Genomic DNA, 24,334 nt, shown 5'->3' on the forward strand with positions numbered 1-24,334 from the left:
TGGAGCCCCAACTCTGCTTTCCCCTTACCTTCTCCAAATCTCATCCATGTTTATAGAGTTTTTATTTTATTTTATTTTATTGTCTTTTTGGTTTAACTATCTCCTAATACTATCATACATCTGACTCTGGCATGACAACTTGATCCTGATTCCTAATAACACTTTTGTTAGATAGCAGAATTTTGATATTTTTCATCTTTAGCTGATTTCTATTATCTAATAAAAAATGAGGTAAAAATACTGAAAACTGTTGATGGTGGTGGTGATGATGATAGAAGAGATAGATACTGTATGATCCAGAGACTAAAATTGTTTATATATAATATTTCATTTTCACAATAACTCTATAAGGCTGTTATTGTTAGCATGATTTTTTCAGATGATATAACATTATAGATAGTGTATAAATTGCCCAAAGTTACATAAATTAAGAAATTTTGAACTAAGATTTGATCCCAGGTCTGGCTCATATTCGCTGTATTCCTATCTTCTATAAAATCGTCTTCCCTAAGTAGAATTTATTGACTGCCAACTGTGTTTCAGGCATGCGTATTATTTTTATGTGTTATGTTTGTATATAAAGAGACTATCATGAATACACCAGTGGTTAGGTAGATCATTCTCAATTTTTTTCTGTTTTCAAATTTCTTGTACTTCTTTGTGACCACATTCTCTATATGCATCACTGGTCATTTGTGACACAGAGTCAAAGGCAGGAATTTTCTAGATATTGCTAGAACAACACTGCAAAGGCATCCAGTGTCATCCGACTCTTTTAAGTTGAGTTACTGAATACCCCCTTGCTGGTTTATATTTCACCAATGTTGATAATTTAGAAGTTGAGGCCAGTAGTGCATAATAAATTTTAATCAGCCAAAAAAATACAACAGAAGATTTGGTTGCAGGGTTTTACACTAACACACACACAGTTTTGTATGTGTACATGCATATACATATGAATATATGCAGGTATATGTATATATATGCATACGTATACACACACAGTCTTCATCCAAGTATTACATGAACCCATAAATGTTAAAGTGGTACTGATTGTTTTGATTTTCTTTCACTTAAAATATTTTTGCTTGTCTGACAAGTACTATATATGAGTGGTTTTTGACAGATTATTCATCATGAGGATTAGTAGAGCATATAAATCATAAATCAGTGAAAATGCAGAAACCCTACTAGAAGAAGCACATCTGAGAATTGATTGAAACATATCAAAAGAAAACATTAATCAACATCTGATTCAAATAAAAAGATATAGTTCAAGGAAAAAGGATTGTCAAAATTTTGGTAGGCAGAAAATAGGAAAAAAAAGTACAAGGAATCCTCTTTCTCTTTCTCTCTCCTGCTCTCTCTCTCTCTCTATCTCCATATATATATGACTTTCTCTGAGAATAAAGAGGGAAAATTTGGGCTAAGGTTACAGACTGCATTCTAACCACCTCTTCTGTTTCCTGTAACTATTTTCTTCTATAAATAAAAAGTTCACCCCCCGATCCTATTTGGGAAAAGGAAAAGAGAATAGCCCAGTGTATTTACTCCAGGCTACTGGGCGGTAGACTTGAAGCAAATGTGTTGAACTGCTATCCTTTCCTTGGTAATTCAGCCCTAGTAGACCTGGTGTCACTGGTTCTTCGATTTTATTTTGTCTCTTGCTCTCTAATTTTGTCTCTTTTTGTGTTTGTGTCCACAATTTGGCAGTGATCCTTTATCAGTCATTGCTGTAGTAAAGAAACTCTCAAGACAAGCTACCTTAACAACCATTCACATACAGATTCCTAAGTTTCTACATGTGCACATTCACAAACTGAAGAATAAGACAGAGAGAGAGAGAGAGGAGAGAAGAAATAGAGTGACAGAGAGAGAGAGAAAGAGAGAGAGCAACTGAGAGAATTCACCCAAATCATGATCAATGTGTATTATTGTTATATTACTATATCTACTATGTATCTGATATGTCCCTTTCAAATTCACTTAAGATCTAAATTCCTGGATGAGAGATTATATTGTTTGCTGGTGAAACCCTAAGTAGCAAATGCTATTTCAATGGAAATTCCTATTTAATAAAACTAGTTATAAATCCCATTAGGAGGTGAGCTTATTTCAATAAATATTTGCTGTAGCACTGGCTAAGTACAATGAGATGATTTAACCATGTTCTTGAATATACAGTCATATGTAGCCTAGCAACAGAGGCACATTCTGAGAAATGCATCATTAGGTGACTTCATCATTGTGCAACCATCATAGGGTGCACTTAGACAAACCTAGACGGTACAGCCTACTATCCACCTAGGCTATACGTTATAGCCTGTTGCTCCTAGGTTACAAACAGGTACAGCATGTTTCTCTACTGACTATTGTAGGCAATTTTAATGCAATGTTAAGTATTTGTGTATCTAAACACATCTAAATATAGAAAAGGTACAGTATAAAAGATAAAAAATGGTACATGGTTTAGGGCAATTACCATGAATGGAGCTTGCAGTACTGAAGGTGGCGCTCTGAGTGAGTCTGTGAGTGAGTGGAGTAAATGTGAAGGCCTAGGACATTAGAGTACACCACTGTAGTAGACTTTATAAACATTGTACACCTAGGCTACACTCAATTTATTAAACAAATTTTTTTCTTCAATAATAAATTAAACTTAGCTTACTGTGGTATTGTAATTTTACTTTATACACTTTTTTAAATTTTTTGACTCTTGGAATAACACCTAGTTTAAAATACAAATACATTGTACTGTTGTATAAACATTTTATTTCTTTATGTAATTATTCTATAAGTGTTTCTCTATTTTTAAAATGTGTGTGTTTTTTTTAACTTTCAAACTTTTTTAAAAAAATTAAGACTCAAACACACAGATTAGCCTAGTCCTATACAAGATCAGGGTCACTCAAATCATTGTCTTTCACCTCTCCATCTTGTCCTACTGGAAGGTCTTCAGGGGTAATAGCAGGCACAAAGCTGTTAACTCCTATGATGACAATGCCTTCTTCTGGAATCGCCCCTGCCTGAAGCTATTTTATAGTTAACTTTGTAAAAATATATATATTTAAGTGGAAGGAGTACACTTTTAAATAATGATAAAAAGTATAGTAAATATTTAAACCAGTAACAGAGTTGTTTATTATCAAGTATTATGTACTATACATAATTACATGTGCTATACTTGTATACTACTGAAAGGACAGTAGCATTGTTTATGCCAGCATAACCACAAGCACTTGAATAATGTATCATGGTAGGGTAGCATGACAGCCACAAAATCTCTAGGTGATAAAAATTTTTCAGCTCTATTATAATCTTAAAGGACCACTGTCTTTATGTGGTTGGTCGTTGACTAAAATGTTACAGGATGCATTACTGTATGATGTTTACTTCTCTGCTTGGAAAACCCAGATTATTTTCAACATACAACATCAGTTTAAAACTGGAATAAATATATCTTTCAGTTAGTATGTTGGTGTAATATAATGTTCTTGTTGTTGCAGATGAGATTTTCTCTTGATTTTAAAGTTATTTTTCAAATGACTGTATATTGGTGAGGTTAAGAACATGGGCTTTGGGGTCAGAGTGATCTGAGGTTATAATTTGCCGTGTAATCTTTAGCAAAATTTTCCTTCTTTCTCTTTTTCTCTTTCTTTCTTTCTCTCTTTCTTTCTTTCTTTCATTCTTTCTTTCCTTCCTTCCTTCCTTCTTTCCTTCTTTCTTTCTGCTCCTCTCCTCTCCTTTCTCTTTCTTTCTCTTTCTTTCCTTTCTTTCTTTCTTTCTTTCTTTCTTTCTTTCTTTCTTTCTTTCTTTCTTTCTTTCTTTCTTTCTTTCTTTCTTTCTTTCTTTCTTTCTTTCTTCTCCCTCTCCCTCTCTCTCTCTCTCTCCCCCCCTCCCTCCTTCCTTCCTTCCTTCTTTCTTTCATCTTATTTGCCATGTAATCTTTAGCAAATTTCTCTTTCTTTCTTTCCTTCTTTTATTCTTTTTCTTTTCTGTCTGTCTTCTGACGGAATCTCACTCTGTCGCCCAGGTTGGAGTGCAGTGGTATGATCTCGGCTCGCTGCAGCCTCCACCTCATGGGTTCAAGCAATTCTCATGCCTCAGCCTCCTGAGTAGCTGGGATTACAGGCATGTGCCACCACGCCCGGCTAATTTTTGTATTTTTAGTAGAGGTGAGACTTTACCATGTTGGTCAGGCTGGTTTTGAACTCTTGACTTCAAGTGATATGCCTGTCTTGGCCTCCCAAAGTGTTGGGATTAGTCGTGAGCCACAGTGCCCAACTGCAAATTTCTTAATCTTACCACACTTCACATTCTTCATGTGTAAAATAATGATAACAAATGTACATAGCATATTGGGTTAAACGATTACTATTACTTAAGTTAGCATCATTTGACTGAGCAATCACCATAGGTCACTCATTTTACTCTCGCAAAAGTTTTACTAATTAAGTAATGTTTTTATCACCTCTATAAGGCAAATTAACAATTGAAGCTTGAAAGATTCTATAATATTTTGGAAGTCACAAAGCTGCTAAGTGTAGACTTGAGATTTAAATCCAGGGAGTCTCACCCTGGAGATGGTTTTCTCCTACCCACTGTGATAAACTCCATCATGAAATCATGCAAGTATGAACAGTGCTGGGCAGTTGGGTACTTACTTCTCAGCTATAATATTTTGAAGCCACTTGTCCATGATTTTTAAGTATCTAATATTACTAACAGAAAGTTCTCTTTCAATCTTATGTTTATTCATTCAATAAATATGTACTGAATACTTACTGTGTGCCAAACATTCTTCTTGGTTCAGGTTACAACAGCAAATAGAGCAGAGCTAATTCCTTACCCTATGGTGCTTACACTCTAGTGTATGGGGGGAGATAAAAAATAAGATAAATAAGTATAATATATAGTATATTAGATTATGGTAAATTATAAGAAAAATAGTACAGAAAGATAAGGGAATGGCAGGTGTCAAGGAGTGCAGTTTTAAATAAGCTATGAAATGATTTTAGTCATTGGCATAAACCTTGATGAGCCTCAGTTTCTTCATTCAGAATATAGGAATAGTGATATTTATCTTGACAATCTTAAGAAATTATTTGAGAATCAAATAGAGATGAGCACGCTGTGTGAATTATAAAATTTTTTAAATGTGACATATCAAATATTGAATAAGTGTTGCATCTGGTATTTAATTTGGAGCAAAACATTCAGAAAAAAAGAACAGTAGGAAAGCCAGAAACTACAGAAAAAGCTAGATGCGATGAACATAGAGAAAAGTTAGGTAAGAGTGATGTTTTGAGTTAGAAGGTAATATCCTGCATGGCATGTATGTATGTTCAGAAACATTTTGTGACTTAACTAGTCATACAATATAATATATACCCATGGGTGATGGCATTACTGTACCAAGTCAAACTTCTGGGTTTTATGACTTTCTGTATTTTATGTTTGCAGTCTTATTAAAGTAACTTAGAAAGTGTTTCCCTAGGGATCAAACCTCTCTCAACTCACATCATGACTTCTGCAGATAATTTCTTTTAGAGGTAGTAGGTTTCTTTTTCTCTAAAATTATATGTTGAAAGAGAATAAGACTGAATATTCCCATGGGCAATGTGCAATAAAAATTTAATCACCCAGAGGAACTTGTGACTCTAACAACTGACACTCCTGTGTCCATATTGCCATTCTTTACTACCACTGAGTTTCAGCCTCTATTAGAATTGGTATCATAGACAGCAGTGAGGAATGGGCTCTGAGTAGGGAACTGTTCCGGTGGGTGGTGGTTGGCTCAGGCAGTACCTGAATGTTAAGGGGGAGCTCAAGTATGTGTGGGCATGTGGACAGAGAGCTTTAGATAAGATTAAGGAAGTATGGTATAAATATAGAGCACACGAACCCAGAGAAGTAAGGCAGAAATCAAAGCATCTAGAAATTCATAGAATCAGAAATATTAGGACATAACAAGAAGATTTGGAATCCAAATTAGCAGCAAGAGGACAATGACTGGCCACTTAAATCACAACAATCAGAGGTCAGCATGTGAAAAAGATATGTTCATCAAGGCAATGATGCCCAAACCCACAAGTTGCTTATGGGTTGCCTGAATAGAAGTTGCTTATATGCTTTCCACTTGGGAGAGAACAAAGTTCAGCATAGCTCCAGCTTACAGGGCAGCAAATCACCTGCTGAAAGCTGACATAGAGCTGTCATAGCACCATGTCTTCTCATGATTAATAAACCCTGGCACACCTGCTCATCAGAGCTTCAGCAATCACTGTTGGATGAAATCAGAAGTTGGAGAATAAAGAGTCTTGTGATGATCTCCCTTCTCCAACTGTGAAAAAAAAATGTGCTTTGACTTTTTTATGTGTTCTCTGTATTTTCCTGCTCTAGCCATTCAACAGTATTGGGACCGAAGCCAGATAACAAATGCTCACTTCTACATAGGTGGGTTAAACTGAGAAAGGAAGAGAATATGATCCTTTCAAAGAAGAGACTGAAAGAGATATCTTGATAAGAGTTTAATGCTACGTGTCTAATCTAGACTTCAAATCTGCTCTTCAGACTATTAATGTCAACCATATAGCAGTGGAGTGCTTCCTGTATCAAATATCTCACTCTTTTCCCTCTTGTTTCTTCCCCTTTCACTTCATCCACATACCTTTTCTTAATTATTAGAACTACCAACCATTGAGTTTGAGGGAAACTTGGGCACTATCTTAAATTAATTTTTCAGCCTCACACAACTAATCAAGTAATAAGTTTTGTCAATTCTATCTTTTAATGAACTGTCTGTCTTTGTCTGTCTACATCTGTTGATTCCCAGGACCAGAACTCTAGTTCAAGATTTTATTTTTTTACCTTTTCCTTGGAAGACTACGCTTGACTCATAAGAGGTCTTCTTTCTAGTATCTTTTGTCTCCTAATCCTTTTCCTTTAGTGACATTCTTGAATAGAAAATCAACTATGCAGTCTCCTACTACATCTGTTCAGTACTTCAACACCATATGATACCGACAGGTTGAAATGCAAATGCATTAATATGATTCCAACCAACTACCTATAACTTTCTAGTTGCATTGTGCTTTACTCTACACAACTTCTGCAGATCCCCTACTTATCATTCAAGATTCTTAAGTGTAACTTAATCCCAACAAAGTTTTTAAAATTTATTTATTTTTCTTCAGAGTCTATTCAGAAGTAACTGAAATCAAAATGATATCAGGAAGTTGACATCATGCATCATAGGTTTCATTCATATTAGTACCAGGGAATGCAAGTACACACATAGAAACATGATTTTATAAACTTGCTATAAACTTGCTGTAGCTGTATTGTGTGATGTCTTATGCTTATGAAAATACTGAGAAAATACAGTTTTGAGCCAAATGCAGTGTGGTTATGTATTTAAAATAACATAATCATTATGAAACAACAAATTCATAATACTGAAATACACATGCTACTTCCAACTAATGCTCTTGTTTTTATGACCAGATCTGGTCACACAGTTATATATGAAAAATGTGTATTATTTAGAAGACAGTTAGTGTCTTCCACTGTTGTATATGTTCAGGACAGATAGTATCAATTTTTACAATCTATCAAATCAACAAAGAATACTGATAAAATAGATCAATTGATTATTTTAGTAATAAAACTGAATATGCATAACATGTTGCATATTTGGTCTACTCTTATTTTCTTAATACCCATTTGTGTTAAAATATGTATGTATTATATATTTATGTATATATGCATGTATGTATATTAATATATGCCTATATATGTAGTATGTGTGTGTGTGTGTATATATATATATATGTATTTCAACTTATATATTTTAATTCATGGTAGTTTGAGGCAAATAATATTAAATTCAGAAAATACTGCAGTCCAGAAAATTATGCTGACAACTTGCTTCAACTTTTTCTGCTGACGTCTATCATTGACTTGACATGCATCTGAAATTTGTACATAATCTCTATTTAATACCCTAATTGAAGCTGTCTCAGTCTTTAATATGGAAGTCCAGCACAGAGAAAATATAACAATATTTATATTAATGACTCATTTTTAGGTTCTTCAAGTCTTTATGAACTGGAGTCAACATTTCTATTTCTATGTTATAAGTAGCACATATATTTTACAACTATGAAGCAGAGTAAAATTTTAAGGCCTAAAGGAATAAAAAAAGAATTATGTAACTACTAGTAAAATGATGATGCTAATATGACAACTCTTATAAGCAGGAATGAAGTTAAAATATTAAGTTTTCCAGAAATCAAAAAACTTTTGGTTCCCAATATGAATACTTGGATAGTAAGTTGTCTTAAGGAATTGCCCAGGACACCAGTTCCCAGTATTGTTTTCTTACATGAATCTACAGATTCAAATGGTTTATTTAACATGTATACAGTTGATTGTCATTATTCATGGATACTGTATTGTGAATTTGCCCATTTGCTAAAATTTATCTGTAACCTCAAAAATCTATCTTCACAGTGCTTTTGTAGTCATTTTCACAGAGCAGCAAAAATCTCAGTCACCAGACAAGCACATTCTCAGCTGAGGTCAAACACAGCAAGTCCCGGGTTCTTATTTCAGCTCTCCTGATGCAAACAAGTGTTCCTTTCCCTATCTGTATAGTCCCACATTTTTGAGTGCTTGTTGATGATTGCCCTGTTTAAAATGTCCCCTAAGCATCATGCTGAAGCGTTGTCCACTGTTCCTAAGCACAGGAATACTGTGATGTGCCTTGCAGAGAAAATATATGTGTTGGGTAAGTTTCATTCAGGTATGCAATATAATGTTGTTGGCCATCAGTTCAATATTAATGAATCAATGATATATATTGAATAAGCTATTTTTATACCTAGGAATACAGCTAACTAGGGAGGTGAAAGATGTCTACAAAGAGAACTACAAACTAGTGACCAAAGAAATCAAAGATGACCTAAACAAATGGAAAAACACTCCATGCTCATGGATAGGAAGCATTAATATCATTAGAATGTTCATAGTGCCCAAAGCAATTTATATATTCAATGCTATTCCTATTAAACTACCATTGAGATTCCTCACAGATATATAAAATGTATTTTAAAAATTAATATGGAGCCAAAAAAAGAGCCCGAATAGCCAAGGCAATCCAAAGCAAAAGAATAAAAATAAAAACAAAAAATATCTTATACACTGTTGGTGGGAGTGTAAATTAGTTCAACCTATGTAACAAACTTCACATCTACGTCTGAACATAAGTAAAAGGTTAAAATATCTATTTTTAGATAGAAACACACATGAAACAAGGGGAGTTGATGAAAATGTTGTTCCTAGAGGCTTGTAGGAATATAACCCTATGTTTTACCTAAGTGAAATGATTTAGTATTTGCTAATTCAGGGTCTGTAGCAACTTTATATGTGATAACTACTGCAAATAAATAAAATTGACTGTATTTTCATTTCAGCTGTCTCTGTCAGTTTTCTTCTTAATCTCACCAAGAGAAGTTAGAGCTATTTTGCTTATAGGTATCTCAACTGGCATAAAATAATAACAAGAGCAATAATAATGACTGCATATTATGATAATGCCAAGCATGGCATAAAAAGCTTCATATCTCATATCTCTAAATCTTTGTTATACATTTTCATGGTACTCTATAATTTTCTTTGCAGGCCTATCTTACAATTATTAATCATTGATGTGATTATTTTAAAATATACGTTTCGATAGACAGGAAGTTTTATGAGAGCAAAAAGCATGTATTTTTCCTTGTTAAATATTTACAATTAAGTTTATACAATAGGTAATGATAAATAGCAAATGATACAAAAATACTTGTAATAACATTTGCAAGGTGGGAATTAAATATTACAAACATTAGCAAAGTAGGAACTAATATGATGGAACATCTATACCTTTAAAATATTTACTTACTGACGATCAAATTAGCTTTTAATATTGGTAAACCTATAAACCAGTTTTATTCAGGAGGGTGATTTTTAAAATATATTTTATTCTAAAAATCAAATTTGCATATTTCTATGCACATTAAGGCAAATTAAAAATATCTGTATTAACTAGCTAAATGCCAAAAATAAAATAAACAACAAGATTATTCTTGGTCCATATTTATTTTTAGCTGAATATGTCACTAATGTAATACCTTGGTTTTTTCTAAAAATATTTTTTATAATTATTCTATGTTTTCCTTAAAATTCCCTGAAATAGTCTTTTTCTGGAGTACATCTTTGACTTTTTTCTGCAAACTGTAATATTTTCTAATTGAGAGAATAATCCCCTTATATGCTATACAGAGCAAATTGAATTCTCACTCTAGTTTTTATATAGTTTTGAATATATTTCTATGTGAATTGTGTGAATATTTTAGCATGATTTATTTCATGGATACTGTTAATTATATATATAAATTATATATATATAATTTTTTTTAAATTTCACTAAGAGAAGTTAGAACTATTTCGCTTATAGGTATCTCATATATCTTATAGGTATATATGTTATATATATATAAAATCTGTCTTAAAGTATTGAACAATAGAAATTATTAGAAGAGTGATTCCTGAAAGAAAAACAAATAAATTGTGTCTTACTATGAAGTGAGCTCTGCTTCTGGAGTGGTGATGTGAAGGTGTTGGACCCACTTCCCAACAGCATTTCTTTGGAGAAAATTACAAAATGAAAACACAATCATTTAAAGTTTTTTATATTGTCCTAAGAGTATATAGTAAGTGGAGAATCTTCACTCAGCAAAATCTAAATCTCAGAATAGTTGAGGTCTGTGGCTTTTAAGCCACAACTTCCTACTTCTTCTCTCATCTCCTTTATAAAGAAGCTACCCTGGGTGGATGGGTCAAGAAAGCAGGGGCTCATTTTCCCCTCAACTTCTAGTCTGGGGTGATAATTTCAACCTGGGAAGGGGAGAGGGCCAGCATTTCTTATCTCCCCCAGCCCTGTGTTGTAGAAGTTCTATTACGGGAATGTAACAGAAAGGATGGGTCTTCCTTCCTGCTTCCAGTGTCTATTCATAGGATAGATGCTCCACACAAACCACAGCAGATAGAGAATACTCGTTTTTGTCTCTACCATAGCTCAGTCACCTCGTGTAGGAAGTCCTATATTGGCAGGAGTAAGCTGAGAGGACCGGAGGCTATCATCTTCTTCCCTGTTTCAGCTCAGTCCCCAGTGCCTGCTTACAACAAGGGTGTCACTAGGAGAGAGGTGAGCCACTATCCCCACCATCAGCTCTTATGCAGGGGCATAGAGAACCTGCCAAGGAGCAAAGGCAGGCCCACACATGCTGAAGGAACTTGAAAAATCAGAAGAAGCTGGTCTTACATGAAATAGAGAATGAAGAAGTCTATACCTAGGGGTGTTCTAAAAGTCAATGCAGATATAGGTGGGGAGCAATTAAAATGGCGCTCATAGCTCCATTATATCAGTGGCAACAAGAAAAGTGACAAGGAAGCTAGAAGTTTTACAGACAGAATCAGGGAAAGAGACAGCCAAGAGAGGCCCTCCTGAAGTCACAGGCCACCTTGGGGTTGGGAAAATGAGACTGTGCACAAATGCCAGGCTACTTCCACTCAGGAGCAATCAGAGCTGAACCCGAGGTTGGGGGAGGGAGGGATGGAACTGAAAACATTTCTGCAGCTAGACGTAATTCATCAGCAAAGAGAGGAAGCCTTTATTGAAATAAAGGTCTTAAGCACGATCTCCAACCATTTACTGAACAACGACTACAATAAGTAAACTCAGGAATTACTCCTAGGAAGCCAGTCTTAATAATATATGCATCTCACATTCTGAAAGACTGTGAGCATGTCAAAGGCTGCGCCCTCTCAGAAATAATCAGAAAGAGAAAATCTCAGCTAGCAGTGCTTGCCTGTATGTGGGGAAAAATGTAAATTTCTTAAATAGGGATATAAACTCCATGCTTCACACACATCTAACACTAAAGAATAAACACCTAACTAATCAATAGGGTTAAGCAAAAGTTTTGATCAATAAGTGGCATATGCCAGCTAAGAACCAACCTCTAGTTAATCAGGCAAAAAGATAAAACACACACAACACAAAATCTGTAAAGGGATATCAGAGGCTGAATACTGTGGGAAAAATAGACTTCACAAAGTTAGTTTAGTCAAGACTTTAAACAAACTAAAAACAAACAAAAAAACACATCAATCACCGGGGTAGAGGGACTCTGTCTCTAAAGTTGTTACAATACGTTTATTTAAAAATGTCTAGTTTAAACAAAAAGTGTATGTGACATTCAAAGAAAAAGGAAAGTGTGACACATACACAAGATAAAAGAAGGAGAGGGGCAAAAGAAATTGCTTTTGAAGGGGTCCACATGTTGAACATAGCAAAAGAGGCTTAAAATATACATTATAAATATGTTCAGATAACTAAAGGCAGCTATGTCAAAAGAAGATGTATTGACAATATCTCAAAAACGGAAAAATACCTATAAGAAAATAGAAATTGGAAAATAAGAACCAAATGGAAATTCTGGAGTTGAAAAGTGTAATAACTTAAATGAAGACTTTACAAGAGAGGCTTAACAGTAAATTTAAGCAGGCAGAAGAATCAGTAAACTTGAAGTTAGATTGATAAATATTACATAATCTAAAAAAATAATGAACAGACTATCAGAGAAATGTGGGACACAAGTGTACCAAGATATATGTCATTGGAGTTATAAAAGTAGAGAAAAGCATTTTGAAGTAATTATGGTTTAAAACTTCTCAAATTTAATAAAAAGCACCAATATATATATTCAAGAAGTTAATGAAGTCTAAGTGAAATAAACCTAGAGATCCACACTCTGACATAGAGTGAAATGTTGAGGCTGGGCACAGTGTCTCATGCCTGTAATCCCAACACTTTGTGGGGCCAGGATTGGTGTACTGCTTGAGCTCAGGAGTTTGAGACCAGCCTGGGCATCATGATAAAACTCTGTCTCTATTAAAAATAACAATAATAATAATGAAATACTTAAAACCCAAGAAAAAAATCTTGAAAGCAGAATAAAAAAGATTTATCATATATGAAGGAATGCCAATAATATTAACAGCTAACTTCTAATTAGAATCGATAGAGGACAGGAGGCATGAGGATGTCATATTCAAAGTGTTGAAAATGGCTACTCAGGAGGCTGAGTTGGGAAGATCACTTGAGCCCAGAATGTCTTAGAAATTTCAGTTCCCACATTTTCATAGGTTTTACCTTTATAATTGCACAACGTTATCATGATAAAAGTCTATTAATAGAGATCTAGTCCTGACTCTGGTGAGAGTGTGGTAAGGAGTAATCATTGTGGAATACATTAAGAGCATTCTTCATTTTTTAAAAAAATGATGTACTGTCTAAGGAAAATAAAGATTATATCCCAGAGACTGAGGCCCACTAAAAGACAGAGGTTTAACTTAATCATCAGATTACATGAGGCTTCTCTTGCCCTACAACCTACTGCCACAGCAACAGGGATTCAGTGTAATAACAGTGGGATACAGCTGAATAAGAAGTTCAAAGTCAGGAGGAGAGGCAAAACAAGGACACTAGGAGAACTTCATGACTTCAGCACTTACTACTGGAGAAAACACTAAACGAAGTTCAACATCTAACTGATGAACATAAATCTTTCACACTCAAGGTCTATTTACTTCAGTTCCTATGACTTGATACAAACGTCCAGTTTTCAACCAAAAAAAAATTAAAGGGACTATCATAAGGCTAGAAAATGCACGCACAAATACAAGCATCAGAAGTATACTCAGATATAAATCAAATGTTGGCATTATTAGACATGGAATTCAAAATATATATGAATAATGTGTTAGGACTTTAATGGAAAAAGTAGGCAATATGCAAGAACGAATGGGTAATGTAAGCAGAGGAATGGAACTTCTAAGAAATAATCAAAAGGAAATTCCAAAAATCGAAAATGTAGTGATGGAAATAAAGAGTGCCATTTGGAGGGGGGCTATCATAATACTGGACAAACAAAAAAGAGGGAGGAATGTCATCATCTTGGTAAAGAACCTACAGCTAACAGAAAATCTACACTTTAGCATCATCATCATACTTCGTGGTGAGAAACAAAAAAAAATGAACAATTAACATCATAGTTAGTGGTGAGAAATTGGATATTTCTTGACAAGTATCAGGAAAAGGCAAAGATGTCTATCTTACCACTCCTACTTAATATCACATTGGAAGTTCTATCTGTTGCAACAAGACAAGAAAATAAAATACATACATACTGGAAAGGAAGAAATAATATTGTCTTTTTATTTAAAATGATATTATGAGAAAATTCTCAAAGAATCAACAGAAATACTCAGAAGTAATGATCAAATTTAACAAGGTTACAGGGCACAAAGTAAATACACGAAAGTCAAATGCTTTCCTGTATACCAGTAAGGAACATTCAGAATTTGAAATAAAAAAGTAAGCCTTTTAAATAACTTTTACAATAATACCAAAAAAGAAAAATAAATACTTAGGTGTAAACATCATGAAAATGTGTGGGTGTCATATGGAGAAAACTACAAAACCCTGATAAATCAAAAAAGATAAAAGAACATGAAGATATATTTCATCTTCATAGATTAGAATGTTCAGTATTGCTAAGATGTCACTTTCTTTCAACTTTGTCTATAGATTCAACACAATCCCAATCAATATCTCAGCCAGGTATAGTGGAGATATTGACAAATGTATTTCAAAGTTTATATGGAAAGGCAAAAGATCTAGAATTGCCAATACAATACTGAAGAAAAATAGTGTCCTGAAGAAAAACAAAAAGTTGAAGGATGTTACATAAAAACTAAAAATAAATAAATAAAGAAGGAATAAACCATGGACTTTTGCTAGTAACTATATATCAATATTAATCCATTAATTGTAACAATTATACTATAGTAATGTAAGATACTAATCATAGGAGAAATTGGGGGTGAGGTTCACAGAAACTTTTTGCAGTTTCTTTGCAAGTTTTTAGAAAATCTAAAACTGTGCTAAAATAGTCTATTAATTATATTAAAATGAAGAAGAAATAAATACTTTTTTCAGGCAAAATAAAAAAACTTGAAAGAATTAATTATTGGCAGACTTGCATAAAGGAAATGTTAGAAGAAGTTCTTCAGTTAAGAGAAGCATGAGATGTTAATTTTTAGACAAATTATGCAAGAAAGAGGATAATAATGTTAGCCAGTTGTGTTTTTATTATGTAAGTTATAGTTCATAGTAGTTAAAATTAGCTGCATTAGGCATTTTCTGCGTTTAAGAATCAAAGTTTATATGGTAGTAATTTTAAAACGTCTTTGACATAGGTTCCAAATCCCCTGCATTAATCCTCATGTTTTTCAAATTAATGACTTCTGCAAGTTTTGCAAACTCATTGGGGATAATTGAATCCTATTTGCATAGATATCAAAGCAGGTTGTCCTTGACTTGTTTTTGACAAGCTACTGACACTGATCGACAGAAAGAAGATAGTTAAACAGAAAATAAAATGCCTCTTTTCTTAGAAGGCACAATGCTTGCTATGCAAAATATATTATTATTCTTACTTAATTTGGGGAATAATAATTAACATTTTAAAAATTGGCAGTTAGTTTTAAGTTGAGGAAAAATTTAAATGCTCTAGAGTATATTAGTGTCAGACACTGTGAATCTAAGTGAAAATATTTTACTTGCACATTTATATTCATTAGTGTCTTGGGGGAAAAGAGGAAAAAGTCTCTTTTGTCAAAGAAAGGAATTTTTACCACCCTTTATAATAGTGCTGAGGAAAAATACTGACAGAAGACTTTTGTTATAACTTGTTTATTAAATCTACCTCTATGTAGACAAAGTGAAGTGGAAATTTTTCTTTAGAGAATACATTTGCTTGAATTAGTCATAATATTTTAGAAATTGTGTATTTTGTTGGGCAAACATACCACTTCATATCCCTAAAGAATAAATGTTTTCAAGGAATAGTACTGTTCTTTTGTCTAGAGCTAAATACAAAATAAAAACTATTAAAAAAACCAAACAAACACTTTCAACAAAACAGTGAAATTAGGGAGAGGAATACAAGGACTGACAGGGCTATCATACTATCCTTTCTCTCATCTTGCTCAGAATATTCTATAAGAAATACATCTTTAATATATTTACTTGGTCCTCACAGGGTGTGAGCGAGATTACAGGAGATGATATTATAATATATATATAAATGTCGTTTGTTTGATGACTCTTAATCATCCCTCAAGATCCAATATCACCTCCTCCATGTGGTCTCCTTTCTTTGGATGTCCCCAGCATTCCACTTGTTCCAACAACACAGCAAGAGACATATTGTATTCATTTGCCCATCCAAGTCCTCTGTACCCAATAGGTGCTCAGTAAATTTTGAATGTGAAAATCTCTCAGTGTAAGAGTAATGAGATTAGGGACTGTGTTTTATTAACTTTACACTTACTTAAATAAACTTTATTTATTACTGCTGTATCTCCAGCTCTTAGTATTTTCCTACACTTAATAGATGTTAAAAGATGCCTATTAAGTGGAAGAACCAGTGAAAAATTATAAAGGCTAAAATGTGCAGTGCATAATTATTATTACTAACTCAAATCCAAGCTTGCTGTGCTCCAAAGATCTTACCAGCTAACCTGTATTATTACCTATTATGTGTCTCATGCCTATCTCTGGTTCATTAACTCCAATCTTAAATTTTTATCACATACTTCCTAAATACCTTCTGGGTATTCTCCCAGCTTTACAGAGTAAAGACATATAAATTTCTATCTACATGTCTTCATTTTTGTTTTTGATAAGGAGACCTCAATTTATTTAATTATTCATCATTCCATGAGTTTTTTGGCTTCGTCCATTTTTTTTATGCCAACACTTTCTACTTACAGTCAAATCAGCTGAGGATATTTCCACATTCTCATTTCTGACCTTTTTCCATTCCTTCTGGAAATGTGTAGTTAAGGCCTCAAAATCTTTTATCCTGAACTTCTGTTAGTTTTTCTACTTGCTTTAATTTTCTTGGACTACTACGTGAATCTTGTACCTGTTCTCTCTGCTTCCAGTTCCTCAACTACCCTTCCCAATTCAATCTGTTCTTTTAAAATACAAGCACACGTCATTTTTATTGTGCTTTGCTTTACTGTGCTTCACAAATACTTTGTTATTTACAAATCTAAGATTTATGGTAATGCTACATCAAACAACACTATTGGTGCCATTTTTCCAATGCTTCATGTGTCTGTGTTACATTTTGGTAATTTTCATAATATTTCAAACTTTTAAATTATTATTATATCTGTTATGATGAACTGCAATCAGTGATAACTGGTGTTACTGTGTCTGGAATTGGTGGGTTCTTCATCTCACTGATTTCAAGAACGAAGCTGCGGACCCTCGCGGTGAGTGTTACAGTTCTTAAAGGTGGCGTGTCTGGAGTTTGTTCCTTCTGATGTTCAGATGTGTTCAGAGTTTCTTCCTTCTGGTGGGTTCGTGGTCTTGCTGGCTTCAGGAGTGAAGCTGCAGACCTTCGCAGTGAGCGTTACAGCTCTTAAGATGGCGCGTCTGGAGTTGTTCGTTCCTCCCGTCCGGAGTTGTTCATCCCTCCCGGTGCGTTCGTGGTCTCGCTGGCTTCAGGAGTGAAGCTGCAGACCTTCGCGGTGAGTGTTACAGCTCCTAAAGGTGACGCGGACCTAGAGTGAGCAGCAGCAAGATTTATTGCGAAGAGCAAAAGAACAAAGCTTCTACAGAGTAGAAGAGGACCCAAGCGGGTTGCCGCTGCTGGCTCTGGCAGCCTGCTTTTATTCCCTTATCTGGCCCCACCCACATCCTGCTGATTGGTCCATTTTACAGAGAGCTGATTGGTCTGTTTTGACAAGGTGCTGATTGGTGCGTTTACAATCCCTGAGCTAGACACAGAGTGCTGATTGGTGTATTTACAATCCTCTAGCTAGACATAAAAGTTCTCCAAGTCCCCACTAGATTAGTTAGACACAGAGTGCTGATTAGTGCATTTACAATCCTTTAGCTAGACATAAAAGTTCTCCGGCCGGGCGCGGTGGCTCACGCCTGTAATCCCAGCACTTTGGGAGGCCGAGGCGGGTGGATCATGAGGTCAGGAGATCGAGACCATCCTGGCTAACAAGGTGAAACCCCGTCTCTACTAAAAATACAAAAAATTAGCCGGGCGCGGTGGCGGGCGCCTGTAGTCCCAGCTACTCGGGAGGCTGAGGCAGGAGAATGGCGTGAACCCGGGAAGCGGAGCTTGCAGTGAGCCGAGATTGCGCCACTGCAGTCCGCAGTCCGGCCTGGGTGACAGAGTGAGACTCCGTCTCAAAAAAAAAAAAAAAAAAAAGTTCTCCAAGTCCCCACTAGATTAGCTAGACATAGAGCACTGATTGGTGCATTTACAAACCTTTAGCTAGACACAGAGTGCTGATTGGTGCATTTATAATCCTCTAGCTAGACATTAAAGTTCTCCAAGTCCTCACTAGATTAGCTAGACACAGAGCACTGATTGGTGCATTTAGAAACCTTTAGCTAGACACAGAGTGCTGATTGGTGCATTTATAATCCTCTAGCTAGACTTAAAAGTTCTCCAAGTCCATACTAGATTAGGTAGACACAGAGTACTGATTGGTGCGTTTACAAACCTTTAGCTAGACACAGAGTGCTGATTGGTGCATTTACAATCCTCTAGCTAGACATAAAAGTTCTCCAAGTCCCCACCAGATTAGCTAGATACAGAGTGCTGATTGGTGCATCCACAAACCCCAAGCTAGACACAGAGTGCTGATTGATGCATATACAATCCTCCAGCTAGACATAAAAGTTCTCCAAGACCCCACCCGACTCAGGAGTCCAGCTGGCTTCGCCTAGTGGATCCCGTTCTAGGGCCGCGGGCAGAGCTGCCCGCCAGTCCCGTGCTGCGCGCCCGCGATCCTCAGCCCTTGGGTGGTTGATGGGACTGGGCGCTGTGGAGCAGGGGGCAGCGCCCGCCGGGGAGGCTCAGGCCATGTGGGATCCTACCACAGGGGGGCTTGGGCATGGTGGGCTGCAGGTCCCGAGCCCTTCCCCATGGGGAGGTGGCTGGGGCCCAGCGAGAATTCAAGTGCGGCGCCGGCGGGCCAGCAGTGCTGGGGTAGCCTGGCGCACCCTCTGCAGCTGCTAGACCGGGTGCTAAGCCCCTCACTGCCTGGGGCCAGCTGCGCAAGTACGGGGCCTGCCGAGCCCACACCCACCCGGAGCTCGCACTGGCCCGCGAGCACCGCGTGCAGCCTGGGTTCCCGCCCGCACCTCTCCCTCCACACCTCCCCGCAAGCAGAGGGAGCCGGGTCCGGCCTCACCCAGCCCAGACAGGGGCTCCCACAGTGCAGCAGTGGGCTGAAGGGCTCCTCAAGTGTGGCCCGAGTGGATGCCGAGGTCCAAGAGGTGCTGAGAGTGAGCAAGGGCTGCTAGCACGTTGTCACCTCTCATTACTATTATAATTGTTTTGGGGCACCACAGATTGTGCCCTTATAAGATGATAAGCTTAATTGATAAATGTTGTATCTGTTCTGACTTCTCCACTGACTGGCTATTCCCACATCCCACTCCCTCTTCTCAGGCCTTCCTATTGTCCAAGACACAACAGTATTGAAATTAGTTTAAGTAACAACCCTATAATGGCCACTAAGTGTTCAAGTGAAAGGAAAAGTTGCACGTCTCCCACTTTAATCAAAAGCTAGAAATGATTAAGCTTAACAAGGAAGTTATGTTGAAACCTGAGACAGCCTGAAAGCTAGAATTTTGTGCCAGTTAGTCAAGTTGTAAATGCAAAGGAAAAGCTCTTGAATGAAATTAAAAGTGGTACTCCAGTGAACACATGATGATTAAAAGGGGGAAACAGCCTTATTGTTGATACAGAAACACTTTTAGTGGTTTGGATAGAAGATTAAAACAGCCAACACATTCCCTTAAACCAAAACCTAATCCAGAGCAAGGCCCTAACTCTCTTCAATTCCGTGAAGGCTAAGAGTGGTGGGAAAACTGCAGAAGAAATGTGTGAATCTAGCTGAGGTTGGTTTATGAGGTTTTAGGAAAAAAAAAAATCCATTTCCATAACCTTAAAGGACAAGGTAAAGTGACCAGTGCTGATGTAGAAGCTGCAGCAAATTATCCAGAAGATTATCTAAGATAATTGATGAAGGTGACTACATCCAAGAACAGATTTTCAATGTAGATGAAACAGCCTTCTCTTGGAAGCAGATGCAGTCTAGGAATTTCATAGCTAGAGAGGAGAAGCCAATGTCTGGCTTCAAAACTTCTAAAGATAGCCTGACTCTCTTTTTACAGGCTAAGCACCTGGTGACATTAAGTTGAAGCCATGCTCATTTACCATTCTAAAAATACTAGGGCCCTTAAGAATTTATCATGCTCATTAGCGTATAACCTACTATTGTTGCTGGTCCATTTATTAGCCCTCTCTTGTTTTATTGAGTTATTTTTTTTTACCCCCATTGCTATCCCTATTTAGCCTTTCAAGAGCAACCATTTTAAGAGGTTTAATATATAATCTTTTATTTGTATGTGTTTTCATCAAGCTATCATTATATAAAGGTATTGTGCTTTGGAACACATTCTGTCTTTTCCTTTTTCATTCAGTATTATGTTTTTTGCAGCATTATTACATTTCAGTGTGTGTAACTAGTCTGCCACTTCGAATGGCTGCATCTTACTCTCAATCCACTATTTACACCACAGCCGGAGTAATCTTTAAAAATGCAAATCTGATCATGTCATGCAGCTGTTTAATATCTGTTGGTGATTTTTCATTTGACTTAGGATGTATTCAAAACTTCTTACCATGTCTGTAAGGCCTTGCAGGATTTGGGCAGTGTCTGGTTAGTAAGTCTCATCCTTTGCCTTCTTCCGTTTGGTCTCTGCGTTTCAACCACACTGGCCTGAACTTCCTCAGATCTGTTACGCTTCCACGTTTGTTATTTACACCCAGCAATCTTTCTTCCTTCAAGTATCAGTCTAAATTTTGCTTCCTCGGATAAGTATTCCATGACTGGCCGATTGAATCAGAAGCTCAATGTTTAAAAATTCTTTAACATTATTTACTTTTGGTTACACTTTATATAATCTTTACTTATATTTGTTTATGTGTTTAATTCTTTAATATTTATCTTACCCACTACCATGTCAGTTCCACAAAGGCTGAGGCCGGGTTTATTTGTTCCTCAGTCATTCTTGTTTCTACCTATGGGAAGCCCTCAATAAAAAAGTGTTCAATGATTTACATGGGAGAAGTGACTTAACCAAGGTCATAAAACTAATTAAAGTCAAATCCAGACAAGAACTCAGCATCTTTCCTCTTCCTGTACTTGGCATTCTTTGAACCTATTGCCATTCTGTATTCTTATGTCCATTCCAGCTCTTTACACACAATAGGTGCTCAATAACTACTTCAGAAAAACATAAAATAAGCAAAGAATGGAATTGTGGATTATATAGCTTTATATTTATGTCAAAGAGCTACTGGCTATTATGTGAAATCTCCAAATCTTTAAATTCATTGGTAAAATAGTTGTCATTGATATTCTTGTTAAGTTTATAAGTAGACATTGCATTTTCTTTACGTTTTTTACCAGGTTGAAGACTGCTTCCTCTGATGTCATAAAGTCAGAGAGCCACATTGAGAAATGTCTGTTAAAATGCTTCTGTTAAAAATGTGTAGAAAGTGTGTGTCTGTTAAAATGTGTAGAAAATTCTGTTAAAATGTGTAGCAGGCTAAGTTTCAAACTGCAACTGAATAGAGAGAATCAATCTATGCATGTTCAGTTTGTGCTCATTTTAATAAGGAAAGAGACTGATGACCTCTCTACTTAAAAGAGGATGGATGGATGCACGTTTTTAAGAATATTTATTTTACCTCAGGAGAACTAAAATAATAACCTATCCTTCCTTCCAACTTGGTCTCTGCCTGAGCAGGTTTTATCAATGGACCTGTCACAATACTGAAATTGGGAGCTCTTGCTATGTTGTTTTGTAAATCCAATTATCTTCAATCCTTGCCATTTCAGCAAAGAAACAAACAAAAAAAGCTTTTAAAGAAGGTATCAAATAGCATTTTTAAATTTATTTTTCAGTGGTATCAGGGAAATTGCCATGTCTTCACCAAGTGATATAAATCTATATTACTCATTGAATCCATGCCTTGAAAACTAGAAATGATTTTTTTTTCTGTTATACTAAAAAAGTTAAATAACTTGGAAAGTAGTACTATTTTGACTATTGGCAGTACTGGTAGGTAAGTAAATAAAAAAAATATAGCCCCATTTCAGTGTGACTGAAGGTGGCAGATCAATGAGACCTTTATCCCATTAGCCTGCCCTAGTATCTGATATTCCTCAAGCTGAGACTTAATTCTTTTGGTTTCAGGTACTGTATTTGTAAGATTCTCTCATTCACAAAATTCTATCAAATTTTCAGGGTTTACCCATTTATTAGTTATTTTAACTTCACATCATAACTCTGACATCACATAGAAGTTATTAATACCCAATGATAGAAAAGAAAACTGAATCTCAACACAATTACATAATTTGTTCAAGAAATCACAGCAACAAATTGGGCCTTCTGACTTGAGTCTAGAGCCTTTCACCAACATCAAGTAGTACTAATGATATTTTACTGTAAGTATTTTAACTGGGGCTATTATGAGTTCATTTCCCTTATCTCATCTCTTCTTCCTTCCATACAATTTTTTTTCAGACAACTTCTCGTTTATGTTGTTTTGTAAGCATCCCTCCCACCAGGTTCTGGCTTTGTTTTGTATGATTTATTTCTATTGGCTCCATCATGACCTCTCAGGGCACTTGGAAGATCCTGTTGTAAAGCTCTGAAGCTCTTGACAGTCTATCTGTTGGGATTCGAAAAAATAAAGAAGTCAACATTAGGTAAGATAAGAATAAAATTCCCCTCAAAAAAAAAAAAAAAGAATAAAATTAAAGAAGAAAAAAGAGTATGGTGGGCCTTTGCCTCTGACCTCTGGGTAGTTTCAAAGATGAGTTCAGGGATAGAGTTGCAGCTGCAGATATGAACCAGGTCTTCAGAGAGGTGACAGAAAGAACTAAAGGGAGAGAGAGAAATGTAAATTTGCATTAATTGAAATTTTTTTAGTTACAGTGGCAATACCGTAATACAGTAGTCTAAGCTAAAACAGGAAATTCACTGGATCATATCACAAGATGGAAAACCAGAGTGGGTTAGGGTAAATGGAAACTGGCTTAGGGACAGCTGTGGCCAGGGACTTAAATGGCAGGATGGTATCCACTTCTCATTTTTACTCTTATCTGTAGAGTATCTTACTCTACTCTTTTTTCTAATATTGCACAAGAGGAATGTAGAAGAGAGATTTTTTTAAACAGACCTCAGTTTTGGACTCAAGTTTCTTAACTGTATGAACAGAGATGAAAGGAATACTCTTTTCCCAACTAGAGTTTGAAACTTTTAGGAGAGGACTCTGATAGATCCATGTTGGGTCATACACCAACTCCTTGGACCCATCAACATGAAAAGGTATGATGAGTTTTGTGTTAGACCAATTTGTAGCCAGGGAGGTAGGGCTGATTTCCACAGGAAAGAGGGCTGGTACATTTATTGCCTTTTGGACCAAGTATAGACTACAGAAAACTAAGTATGCTATGCCAAGGGCTTGAAATTTATCCTACATGCATGGTTTATTTATTGGAACATTTAAAGTGGGAACATAATCAGCTTTACCTTTTAAAAATACAATTCTGGCAGCAATGTAAAGGATGAAATCGAGATTTTTAAAGACAAGAGATAGGTATCTTAGGATACTATTCCGCAAGTGTAGATTAGATGTAATGATGGCCAGGTGGGGTGGCTCATGCCTGTAATTCCAGCACTTTCAGCACTTTGAGAGGCTGAGGTGGGTGGATGGCTTGAGCCCAGGACTTTGAGGCTAGCCTGGGCAATGTGGTGAAACCTTGTCTCTTCAAAAAATACAACAATTAGCCCAACATGGTGGCATGCACCTGTGGTCCCAGCTACTCGGGAGGCTGAGGTGAGAGGATCACTTGAGCCCAGGAGGTCAAGGCTGCAATGAGCCGTGATCATGCCACTGCACTCCAGCCTGAGTGACAGAGTGAGAGTCTGTCTCAAAAAAAAAAAAAAAAAACTGCAATGGTGATGATAAGAAAGCCTTTAGCAGTGTTTGTACAGAGGAGTGGTTTGAAGATAGAATCTACAAGATGTCAGGGCTTGAAA

The 24,334-nt window shown here is 36.1% G+C and overlaps 1 long non-coding RNA gene across 1 annotated transcript in view; it reads right to left on the bottom strand.

Annotated features, from left to right (window-relative positions):
- Positions 1 to 22,528: 22,528 nt before the first annotated feature.
- Positions 22,529 to 24,334, bottom strand: part of LINC02552 (long intergenic non-protein coding RNA 2552) — a 40,814-nt gene continuing 39,008 nt past the window's right edge. The window contains exons 3-4 of the long non-coding RNA NR_120585.1: positions 23,088 to 23,171; positions 22,529 to 22,961 (exon numbers count right to left, since the gene is read on the bottom strand). This is a non-coding gene — a long non-coding RNA (long intergenic non-protein coding RNA 2552). The remainder of the gene's footprint in view (positions 22,962 to 23,087; positions 23,172 to 24,334) is intronic.

This window comes from Homo sapiens, chromosome 11, assembly GCF_000001405.40.
Source record: "Homo sapiens chromosome 11, GRCh38.p14 Primary Assembly".
NCBI lineage: Eukaryota > Metazoa > Chordata > Mammalia > Primates > Hominidae > Homo > Homo sapiens.